The sequence below is a fragment of the Homo sapiens genome, chromosome 8 (genome assembly GCF_000001405.40).
Source record: "Homo sapiens chromosome 8, GRCh38.p14 Primary Assembly".
NCBI lineage: Eukaryota > Metazoa > Chordata > Mammalia > Primates > Hominidae > Homo > Homo sapiens.
Window position 1 is genome coordinate 52,401,291 of NC_000008.11, and position 12,423 is coordinate 52,413,713.

At 42.5% G+C, this 12,423-nt stretch overlaps 1 protein-coding gene across 30 annotated transcripts in view; it reads right to left on the minus strand.

The window, feature by feature from the left end:
- The window catches only part of ST18 (ST18 C2H2C-type zinc finger transcription factor), a 299,042-nt gene extending 290,453 nt beyond the window's left edge, over window positions 1-8,589 (minus strand). For 17 of the 30 annotated variants that reach the window (NR_148195.2, NM_001352871.2, NM_001352836.2 and 14 more), the window contains exons 1-2: window positions 8,392-8,466; window positions 8,038-8,162 (exon numbers count right to left, since the gene is read on the minus strand). Coding sequence is in view for 6 of the 30 variants with exons in the window: in NM_001352881.1 (NP_001339810.1) it covers window positions 8,073-8,162; window positions 8,392-8,460 (159 nt within the window). In the remaining 24 variants the exon portion in view is untranslated. Of the gene's footprint in view, window positions 1-2,410; window positions 6,647-8,037; window positions 8,163-8,257 lie in introns of those variants that run through there. The other 13 variants (NM_001352838.2, NM_001352862.2, NM_001352835.2 and 10 more) reach the window with 7 other exon arrangements.
- Between the last annotated feature and the right edge of the window lie 3,834 nt (window positions 8,590-12,423).

Below are 12,423 nucleotides of genomic sequence, written 5' to 3' on the forward strand. Positions count from 1 at the left end.
ATGACTTGGTGGGGCCCTCTTTGGGTTGAACCTGTTTGGAGATCATTAAGCTTCATAAATCTGCATGTCCATTTTCTCCCAAGACTTGAGAATTTTTCAGCAACTCATTTGTTAAATAAGTTTTCCATGCCTTTCCCCTTCTTCTCCCTCTAACAACCCCATATTTAAATATTTTGTCACTTAATGAGTGTCTTATAAATCCCATAGGCTTTCCTCACTCTTTTTTCCTCCTGACTAGGTTATTTCAAAAGACTTCTTTTCAAGTTCAGAGATTCTTTCTTCTGCTTGATCTAGTCTGCTGTTGAAGCTGTCAATTTTAAAATTTTATTCATGGAGTTATTCAGCTATAAGATTTCTGTTTGGTTAGTTTTTATGATAGCTATCTCTTTGTGGACTTTCTCATTCAGATCATGAATTGTTTTCCTAATTTTGTTGCATTGTCTATCTGTATTCTCTTGTTTCCTTAAAATTATTAGGTTTAATTCCTTTTTAAGCAATTTCAATTTCTTTGTGGCCAGTTACTAGGGAATTATGGTCTTCCTTTTGTGGTGTCATGTTTCCTTGCTTTTTCATATTTCTTATGTCCCTATGTTGATGCCTGTGCATCCAGTGGAACAGTTGCCTCTTCTAATTTTATAGAGGGCTTTCATAGGGAAAGACTTTCGCCTGTAGATGAGTCCTAGAGTGTCAGGTCAGCAGAGTACTTGGCTCTGCTTCTGAGTGGGTGCAGTAATGTAGTCTCTGTGCAGCTTCTTCAGCTGTGATTAATATCAGCAATGACTGCAAGTACCTCAGTGTCTTCGGCTGTAGGAGTTTGTGGCAGTGGTGGTGGCATGGTAGTTTGTTAGGGTTCTTGGCAGCAAGGGCATTAGGGGTTCTCCTGTTGTCATTTTCCCCACAGTGGGCACACTTAGCTGAGGGGATCCCTGTTATTATCAGGTGTGACATGGGCCACAGGCAGCCATAGCATCACTGTGTTCAAGGGCACATGTGATTGGAATGGCTGTAGAACTGGGGTCCTGGGCTCAGTGTCTTGTTGAACTACTGTGGCACCTGTGATGTGGGCACAGGTCCATTCTCTGAGGCACAGGTGGATGCAGGTCTCCCACCAAGCCAAGGACTGTGACTCTAAGGCATTTCCCAGTAGCTTGGGCCCAGGGTTCAAGGATGTAGCTGTGACTCTAATCCTGGAGATCAGGGCACAGCATTGACATGGCTCCAGGGAAGAAGGGGTGTTCTAGACGCTCAGTCCCCAGAGAGCAGGCGACAGCTGCAATTCAGGTCTTAGAACCAATAGGGCACAGTGGCAACTCAGGCATCAGAAGTGGGGGTACTGCATAGTGATGACTATGGTCCCAGAGCAGTGGGATACAGCAGTAGGTCAGTCTCTGTGACGCCAGGTGCAGTGGCAGCAAGGACCCAAGAACAGTGGAGCACAGTTACTGCTTGGGCTCTGGGAAGCAGGTGCCACTTCTGGAGTCAATTCAGACTCCAGAGGGCTGGCCCAGACCCAGGAAGGTGGGGCACGGCAGCTGTTCAGCCCAGGGGTGGGGCAGCACAGCTCAGCCAAGGCTGTTTCTCTGGGGGCCAGTATACCACATCAGCTCAGCACTATGGGGTGTGGCTGCTCTGCTGGGCTGGGATCCAGGAACCTGAAGAGCACACTGCCATAAGGGCTTGGATACCAGGGATGTAACTGCTCCCCTAGACCAAAGTTCCAACTTCCTGGGGGTGGGACATTGGGCTGGTTCAGGCACTGAAGTGCATGCCTGCTCCACTGGGCCTTGGGTCCAAGTAGCTGGGGCTGGGGCACAGTAGCAACTTGGATGGGGGAAATGGGGTGGCTTCTAGGTAGCTTGTTCCCAGGGGGTATGGAGTTGCTGCAGCTCAGTTGGGGAATGTTGCACTACCATGTTTGAAAGCATGGTGCAATGGTGGCCAGGCCTCAGGGATAAACAGATACAGTGGCTACTGGACCCCCAAGCAGGACACACTCTAGCAGTGGCTCTGGTTTCCAGATGGCACAGTGCAGTAGCAGCTTGGCCTACAAGAGTTGAGGCACAATGTGGGCTCCTTCTTTGGAGCAGTGCAGCTATGTGAACTCCAGGCAGCTCCCCAAGCTGAGCTCAGGGACCTTGAGGACTGTAGAATTCTCCAGTGGTGAAGACTGCTGGTGTCCACAATGGTAATAGGGGCTGCTGGGTACCTCCTGCTTACCTTTTCCCCCCAGGAAGGAGTCCTTCCTGGTTCTGAGCTGAATAAGAGAATGGGGTGGCACAGGTGGGGTGGCAAGGGTGTGGCATGATTCCTCCTCTTCTGTATGAGCCCATACTTAGTGTTTGTGCTCCACTGGATTTCTGCCACTCCTGCTGTACTCCCGCACTCTTCTTCAGCCACTGTGGTCAAAATGTAGTTGTTTATTCATTGTTTATTCATTTTTTGTGGGGGTAGTCCAGGAAATGGGTGTTGGGCACTTTTAGTCAGCCATCTTGCTGATATCACTCCTCTCTAACTCTTAATATGATTGTAAGTAACTTAAACATCAGCAAAATTAATCATGCCTTGGTAAATTACAAACTATAAAGTAAAAAGAACAGAAACACTGGTGATCAGTTACCAGGCTTTTCCCTCCTAGCAGATACCAAACCTGGTCACTGATGGAAAGGGCTTCTGGTCTAACATTTGATGTAAATCTTCTAGTGGCTACCATTATATCTAAACAGCATAATAGTTTGATTTTTGGTTTGGCTACCAGATAAATCACACTGATTATCAATTCTGAATAAGATCTATTGCCGCCTTGCCATGAACAATGAAAAATAGTAAACATTTATGACAATCTCATAAAGGATAGTAATGCTGAAAGAAAGCTTTCTAAGCCACCATTAATTAAAAATAAATAAATTTGATTAACCACATTAGAAAAAGATTGGATTAGCTTTCCATTCTTTCTGTATAAAATATTATAAGAGCATTGTCAATAAAGGGCTTTTGAGAGAATTAAACGAGACAGCACATTCAAAGCACTGAGACCCATCCTGCACAGAGAAGGGCTCAGGTATTTGTTGGGAGAATTAATGACAAGCACTGCTGAGACAGAAGGAGTCGGGGCAGAGGGGCATTTCCAGGCCCAGGAGCACATGTTCACATCACTCCTTCCCCAGTCTCACAACAGACCTAAGATTTAAGAGATAGAGGGCAGGCCATGTGACGGATAAAGAAGGAAGGAGGAAAAGAAGGCTGAACCAGATGTAACCCAAACACCCAGCACTGTTTTCGGGAACTAACTTCAGCAAAAGGTGCAAAGCGGAGGTGTGGGGACATGGCCAGCAAGTCCCTCTTTCCCTCACTGCCCCCTGAGCATTCTGAGAAATTTAAAACTAACTCATGATTTGATATTTCTACCACTTCCCCATCTTTTCTCTCAAGCTGTAAGTATCAACTTATCTGAATTTTAACCAACGCTTTAGAAAAAGAAAACCTCCAAAATTCTAGTGGGGGTTTAATGCTCATACTGTTTTTCTATAAGATAAACAGTAAAAATATCTTTTTAAAAAAATTATTTTTTCCAGATGCTTCCAAGTACTCAAAACAACGTGCAGCCCATAACTTTAAGTTACCTTGTCCAGACCCACTTACTATTTAACCAGTCGATATGTTATCGCCTCAGAACTGTAATTATGTTTATGCCTTTTGAACAAGCTGATGAAAAGAAACATTTGCTTAAGGTTCCCATCAATGAATGCAGAGCTTAGATTAGTCTTTAGCTTATACAAACGTTATGCTTATTAATTCAGAATATTCATTCAGTTATTGAAACATGATGACAAAACTGTACAGTGAAAGACTGATTCTCTATTATACATATTAGCATTGCACAGAAATCCTTTGGCTCAGGAATAACTGTCCGAGACTCAGGATTCATATATCTCTTTGAATTTTTAAAACGGTGATTTAGGTATCAAAACTATAACATCAATGCTCTGAATACACAGATTATAAATTATCAAAATAAGTCCATTCTGATTAAGAACTCTCCAGCTGGATTTCAGCTTAAGAAATTCTAAAACTGCCTATGCGCAGTCCAGTCCACGCCAACAACCACAGCATCCTTTTTAATTAAAAGCCAGTGAGATGACTCATGCCACCTGTTTCATTGATCCTGCTATATTCCTATTTTGGTCAGAGTTCTCTTTTGAGGATTAAAACTTTTATGAAAACAAATAGCAAATATTTATTCAAATTGATTACTATTGTTTCACATCCTGACAACTACATTTCCTACTATAAAATTATATTTATCTGTATTAATTTTAATAACACAAGGATTATTCAAAGTGACAATCACAGTGGTAAATGTAGCTGTTGGAAGGGCTAGTAGCTAAAGCAACTATTATACACTTTCACATATCAATGAAATAGCCTTCCTAAAATTTGTTATAGACCCATAAAAGTAGATTCTTAAAAATCTGCCTACTTAGACACATTTCAATGGAATGTTTACATCTCAGTAATTATATTGAACAGAATGAAATATAACAAATCCAAGGAGAAAGGAATGGTGAGGGGTGGGGGAAGGGGTGGTCATCATGCTTTTATGACTGGATCCAGATGACATATCATTAATTGTTGAAGCTCTCTAGACTTTGAGTTCGACGTGGAGTTGATAGGGAGACTTCTGCAGAAGCCCTGTACTCAGACAGCAATCTGCTCCCACTTACAGAGCTCCATGAGTGGGATTTGCAGGCTGTCCATATTATATTGCCTTATTTGCCATCATTTTAGTCACTAGTAAATTAGCTGTGAAGACAAGAGTCAAAATAAAGGGGAAAAAAGGTGATGGTCTAACTGCACTGTCTGCCTAGATGAGGTGAAATCTTTTCTTTTAAACGCAACACAGAATGTAATTAATGTAAAGCAGAGGAACCTTTCACAAACAACAGGATCAGAGATTCCAATTACTCCCTCCTCTGTTCTTCAGGAACTTCTTGGGAGGTAATTATAAAACTCTTCCTGTAAGTAAAATGCAACAAGACTCCAACCATTGCTTCCCAGTGGGTTATGTGAGAAACAAGAAGCACAGAATGATTCTCACAGGTCAGCGTGTGTGTGAGTCAGCTGGAGTCCTGAGGCATCTCTCAGAGATTTGGGGGCAGTCACTCCCTGGCGGGCCAGCGATCTGGCCTTGAAGGAGTCCTTGGGGCCACCTAGGGTAAGAGTTTGGGGCCCTAGGAACTGTGAGGAAGAGTTAAACAGAACCCCGAACACATGATGTGGGTTGTGGCCTTCCCCCTAAATGCAAATGAGAGCTTGACAAAGGGAACCCGCAGGCAGCCAGCTGAGGTCTTAACATCCAAGTGGATCCTTTTGTGAAATCCATTCCTCTCTTCACCAAATCATTCACATTAGCCATTACATGAAGTCTTTGGTGTTTTTCCTTTTGCTACACACATTACTCATACAGGGAAGGGAAGTGAGCTGAGAGTTCAAGGGCACTTTTGACTAGAACCAGATGAATTGTTGCAGTTGCCTGGGAAACCTTTGAAAACAACCATACTTGATATGTCAAAGATCTGAAGTTAACAGGAGCCAAAGTCATCTAGAAGGTAAATCCAAGAAAGCTAATGGCATAAGAGGGACACTCGGCTTGTAAAAGTAGTTCCAATTTGTTATGCGTTCGTGAACTTTTGAAAAGAGGAAAGGATTTTATCATCCTAATTAGCCTATAAGAATGATCATCTTAAATGCCAACTTTCCGATTACAGAATAAAATTTAGTGAAGATATTTAGATCCCCTAAACATTTATGCATAGACGATGAAACTAGAGTTTTATAATAACCCTAAAACAAAATATAAATGTCTCCATAGATTTGTCCCCTCACGTTCTTTGGAATTCTGTTCCAGTCTAGTAGGTTTTTCTTTCCAGATTTCAAGTGTAAAATGTATGTCCAATGTAGAGTATCACGTGTTTTATTATAAAACAAAAAATATTTTCTGTGGTAATTCTGAGAAGAAAAAAATTAACAAGTAAAACAATGTGATATCATTTTGCATCAAGGAAATATGGATTTAATGGGAAACTTCCTTAAGCTGCATTTTGCTTCAAACGCTGTGTTGCGTAGGGAATCTTCCACGAATCTGAATTTGTGATTTTTTCAATATTTTTATCAAAAAAATCACCCCAAAAAGCTGCATAATGAATATTTGTGCACATGACTAATACTAGACTTCACATAGTCTTTTATAATAAAATAAATCAAAAGGATAATCGAAGTGAAAACATCTCTGACAGGGAAGTAAAATTTTGTCCCTTGCAACTCAATCCTTCCATGTTGAGGGACCCATTTCGAGATTAGCATGTTTGGGGAGTTTTATTATTATTTTAGAGATATATGGTTTTGGTGGAGGACGCTGTCCAAAAACGGCTACTTTCATGCAGAGATTTTCACTTTAAGTTTCAAGACATCTGTTTGGAAACTCCTCGGAGAGTTCATTGCTCTGCGCTGCCCTCTTCTGGTGAGCCTGTGTAAATGGTTTCTGGAAAACAGTCCAGTGCCGCCATCGTTTCCATCCTCCTCCATTTCCACCCCAATTCATCAATACATTGCTCAAGGGCCTGGATTTCCTATGTGGTGATGTACAAAGCTGAATTTTAATTCAAATAGTTTAAAGGTATAATCAAAGCAAAGGTTTTTTTAATTTGGAATTTTTTATTTTTACTTTTATTTCGTGTTGGAAATACAGGTTTTCCCAGATAACTTGCAAAGCCACAAACTAAGGACGCTGTCTCACCTAAAAAGTTTGGTTACAAAGTCAGTAAGAAAAATGATGTTATTTTTGAATAACATCAAACTAATTTAATGTAGGACTATGAATAATTTAATGTAGGACCATGTTGCTAGGAATGTCATTTTTATCTTGACCACCTGAACATAGCTTACAAGAGAATCACTACTTTGGCATAAATTATTTAGGTTTATCTGAAGGGACCATTCCTGCTAATTTGACAGCAATTTATCTGAAATAGTTAGAAAGATCAAGGCTCCAAGTTGTGTGCAATAAATGTATTCACCAACTGCCGGAAAATCAGAAGCTCTTCCTGACTGGAACACCACTGTGAGCCTCGCTGTCTGCTCTCCCCCAGTTACAAGTGCTTTCCTTAACCCACAGTCACGAGACAGAAAACTGTACAACCCTGAGAATCAACAGCTAATTTCTATGTGAACTGGAAGAACAATCTTGTCATAGTGCTAACGTTATGTGTATATATTGTACCAACAAATAAAAGTGGTTATTATGCTTTGCTCAAGAAACTCATCTACAATCCCAAGTACTGCGTAGTGACCAATGCAGTATTTGTCCTTCTGAGCCTCCTTCAAAATACCCATTCAAAAGTCCAAAATAATGTTCATTTTCAGTGACCTAAATTAGCTAGAGATTTTAAAAAATCTTATGGCTCAAAGAAAGAACCATGAAGTTTGATTCCTCAGTGCCTGTATTCCAGTAAACAGACATATAGCATGCATATGTTGCAGGTCTCCTATAGCGACAAATGGTTCAAGCATTCAACGTGTCTTCATATTTGATGCTTATTATGTGAAAGCAACAGATGTACTTCTCATCTGAGCACAGAAAAAGTGATGTTTTTAAAAATCCTAAATAGAAAGTGAGTCAGTCCCCGTGCAAATATAAATCTAAAAGAAATTCCTTACTGTACAAGTAACATTTGCAGTATTAAATACATTGACTTTTTCGCAGAACTGTCTGCCGAGTATCATACTCAGTCAGATCCCCTCGACCTGGTGAACATGTCTTCGACTGCTCCACAGCCGGCATTAGAAACAACTCAGGTGGCCGCTGATGGTCATGGTGGACACAGGGCTGCCATGCCCATGCCCACGAGAGGGAGGGGCAAAAGGTGAGCCCTCCTAACTCCTCCTTGCGCATCTTGCGCCAGTGGTATGTTTTCTCTCAAAGTTCAACCCAGTGCGATGTAATAAAATAACTTAAATGCATTTTACAATATTTTTTCTTACCTTTACCTGGCGAACGTCTACAGGTGTGTCGAAAGTTATCTTTTCCTGGATGTGTTCCAAAATGCTCTTATGCTATTTCTCTTAGGATTTCTCCACGCTGCCCCATTCAGAAATTTTATTATTTTCTAAAGAAGAAAAAAAATATGATGTGAAAATTATCATAAGAAAACCATTGATTTTCAATCAAAGCTACACAAATGCCAAGCCAATGTGATAGCACCTTCCACAACTCTGCCAGGCACTGGTTTTTGCGTGGGATGATGCCAGCTTCTCTCTTCATGTGGCCTTATTAAAAGCCATGGTTTCCGAGATGTAAAACACCCACAGTTACCTCAATTATTTTTCTCTCCTTACCTCTAGTATTCCCCTGAGGTCACATTCAGTTAAAAACATCCTGCCCTTCTCCCTACAAAAAGGTTCCATAGAATCAGAACGCAGAGGCGCTGCAACTTGCTAACTTTGCTCTGTGTTATTTACCAACCGCACAAAGAAAATGCTGTCTATTCAGAACTCATTTCAAAACTCTTTTCACTGAGAGTGAGCGAACAAGCGGGCTCATGTCCCGAGCCCAGTCACATCTCCAGCGGTCCGGTGATGGCCGTGGGGCTGGCGCCGAGTGGCACGGCCTCCACAGTGGCCCACAAGGGTCTGTTGTCCACGCCGCGTGGACCGCGCAGGCCGGTGGGAGTCAAGAAAGGGGGAGGGGCGGGGGATCTTCCACTTTCTCACCCCGAGTTTCTTTGCTTGCTTGCCCCGAGTATCTGTCAAGAGGCAGCCCTCTCCCCTCAAGGCCCCTTCATCCTGAACGTGCATGATGCCCCTGCAGTGACAAATACAGAATCTTCTCAGTGGGCCTGGATTTGAGGCCGAGCTAATCACTGGGTTGCTGCGGGTGGGTAGGTTATTTAAACCACCTGGAAATCAGTTTCTCTGTGTTATGGTGATTGTACCTGGCTCACTGGATTTGAGGAGTAACCAGATTTTAGGACAGACTCTTTCTCTGTCCGTCCTACTCAGATCCCAGTAGGAAACTTACCCTTCCCCTGCGCCACGGAGTGCAGAGAAAACAGCCCAAAGACTTCTTTAACGACTCTGGATCCCTCAGCCAGATCACGGATATGGAAAAAGCTTAAATTAGAAAGAGGAGGTCGTGAAGGGACCTCCTTGGCCTCCTGTCCCACGTCCTCAAGGCCTGTGGAATGAGAGCTTCAAGGCTTGTTCCCGCAGTTGGGAGATGGGAGCCAGCCACACAGACACAAGCAGACCATGCAGCAGAGTCTGTCCCAGAATCTGCCTAAGATGGCAGAGGAGTTGGCAAACAGCTCTGGGGGCAGAGCCAGAGAGTATGGACGGATACATGCAGCACAGACTGCACCTGCTGAGCGCAGGTGGGGTTGGAGGACGGAGGGGAACAAGAGTTCCCAGGACCAGTTGTATGTCCTGGGTCAGCAGGAGAAATCCTGTCCAACATGTGCAAAGGGATCCTTAGAGGTGGGAGGAGACCAGGGCAAGAAGGGGATGGAGGTTATCCACTGGACAGCCAGGGCTGAGGAAGGTAGGGTCCACTGACGACCTGAAGGAAGGGAGATGCACCCACCAGGAATGAGGGAGCTGCAAGAATAAGGGAGCTACCGGGGGCTTCCAAAGCCTCACTGCGCCAGCGAGTCCATCATAGAGAGTTGACCCAAACCATCTGCCAGACCGGAAAACAGGACACCAGCCAGCCAGGTTAGAAGGGGCGGAAGTTTCTACCTCTTCTTCCTGCATGCACCCAACACATGCCCTGCTACAACCATAGCAGTTGCGGTGAGCTGGCCTGGGAGCAGGAGCCGGGAGACAGCAAGCCTCCTCAGCCTCCCCTCCCCACTGCAGGCATGCAGGCAGGCCATGTGGAGGGGGTGTAGCTAGGCTAAGGTCAGTTTTTGATTATTGCATGGAACCAGACACTGTAAGTGCTGAAATGAAACTGTGTATGTGATTCCAGTTGACCAGAAGACTTTTTGAATTATCTGAGAACGAGCAGAAGAGCCATGGGGCCTGCCAGAGTTTTCATCCAGGGGTCATGGACATTGGTCCCACTGAATAAAGTTTACAAGAACAACAGGAACAAAATTATGTTGTATTTTGGCTCTGTTGTGTTGTGTTTTTTTAACGTATCAATTACTTGAGCTATACATGATAAACTCTTCTGCTAGACTAGAAGCTGCAAGAAAACAGAGACCCTACAATTTATGTTCCTTGAGGTTTCCCTAGAGTCAAGTACCTGGCCCATGGTAGCCAGCTAGCTGTCCTGCCTGTTCTTATTTGATTGTTTTATTTTAAGCCATGCCTGTCTTTCTAGAGAAATCTAGATCAATATATTTTCTCTCTAACTTCTTGATTGCCTCCTAAAACATGCTGAATACTACATTAGTTTTTCTTTATGTACTTCTCCAAAGGCAATCTCTCTCTGCCCTTATGTCTTTCAGAGAACCTTATATATCTATAACATTATACCTCATATAGAAGGCACAAGCTGAGTCTTATGCAACCTTTAATGATTGGTCATCAAAAGAAGATTAATCAAAGAGCACCTTAGCAAGCTTACTAGAGAAGCTCAAGGCACACCGCAAAATTCATCAGCATTTTTTCTTGTGAGTTTCCCTTTGTGGATCAACATTGATCTTTTTTCCAGAAAAAGAAAAAAAGACACCAGGACCTTTTGTAACCTTCCCATTCCTTTTACACCCCACCCCATCCCACATGCCAAAGAATTTCCAAGAAGTGCTTCACTAGCTACTTCTCTACTCTGGGTTGCAGATAAGTTCAAGTATTTTGAATGGCACAGAAGCGATTTCTCTTTGGCCAAAAGAGAAACTCAGGGGAATGAAAAAAATTAAAGGCAAGCCTACTTGTGAGCTTCCCAAACTGAGCAAGTTTGGGTGCAGCATATGTAGTCTCAGTTTTGGAAACCACAATATGCCATTCATCCCTAACTAGATGACGGGACAGAAATGTTGTTGCTGAACCAACCAAGGGAAATATGCTTGCTGATTACCCAAAACAAACTTGCAAAATTCAACTTCTAGTGCTCCAAATTTTCAGATGGGAAAATTTTTCTTATATATAATTTTGAATTATTTTTTTCACTTGCTAAGTGAACATGAAGTAATTGGGGGGCATATTTGAAAAGATGGGGTTCTTATCTGATAAAATATGAATCAAGAACAAAACAATTGTAGGTTAAGAAAATTCCAGAATAGCTAAGCAGAGTCCCTTCCTGAAGATGAGAATGGGTATGTGTGGAGAAAGAGTAGGTGTTGTCAAACATGCTGACATTAAAACACAGACCTTTGGGGCATGTGATTTGGTTCAGCCAATGAAATACAAACTATTGATGCCCTTTGTTACTGAAAACCTTTCATCCATTCATCAAGGAGCCCCATTCACACCACCTCCCTCCTGGGGCTGTAATGCAGTCTTTTCTCCTGAGAGCTGATGTTGAGGCCCAGGACTCTGTAAAGTTGACAAAGAAAGCCAGGAATTTCCACTGGGGTCACGCCAGGGGCACTGCCTTGGGAGACAAAACTACGGGGTCTTCCTCCTGAGGAAAGCCTCTTGACTCAGCTCATTCTTTCTACTTCCCCATCTCTCTCCTCCTTTAAAAAAAAAAAAAGCCAAAATAGAGATCCTTTGGTCTGCCCAAATACAAATCCTACTTATTTGTCCATCAATTATCTCTGGACTTCCCAAAGCACGTCAACAAAGCATTTTATCTACAGGTACCTATTGTTTAGGGCTATAGCCTTTGGAGAAGTTGAATTTGCAGTAATCCGTCTATACACAAATACTCATCAGTCAATAAGAAGCTATTACTATGAGCAATGGCGGAACATTCCAGGAAGATGGCAGAATCTAGACAGCGTTCCACAAAATGTGCTGTGAGATACTGAATTTCTGGCTGCTTCGAAGTGTTTATCACTCGCTAAAACGGCCATTTTATTAAGTACTCATTTTTTTAAATATCATTGAAACAGTCATATAGTTGTCTTCTATTCAGAAATGACTGCTGCCTAGGATTTGGGGTTTGTTGTTTATTTTGTTTTGGGCTTTTTTCCCCTGGAATACTAGATTTATTGGAATCAGAGAATGAACACCAAAGGTTGACCTAACATTTATCCTCAAATTGTGGCTCCTGGAGGAGTTAATATGACAAGATGATAACCTAATAATTATTGGAGAGGACATCATTTTCTGTAAAGAACTGCACCCAAGCAAAATAGGTAATGATTACTCATGCTCGGATTCCATAGCTTTAATTATCAGCTTTCTGAAGAAGCCTTTTGGAGTCTGCAGACAGCACTGGCAAAGATGAAAAGAAAAAGAAAACGTTTTGCTGGCAACTTA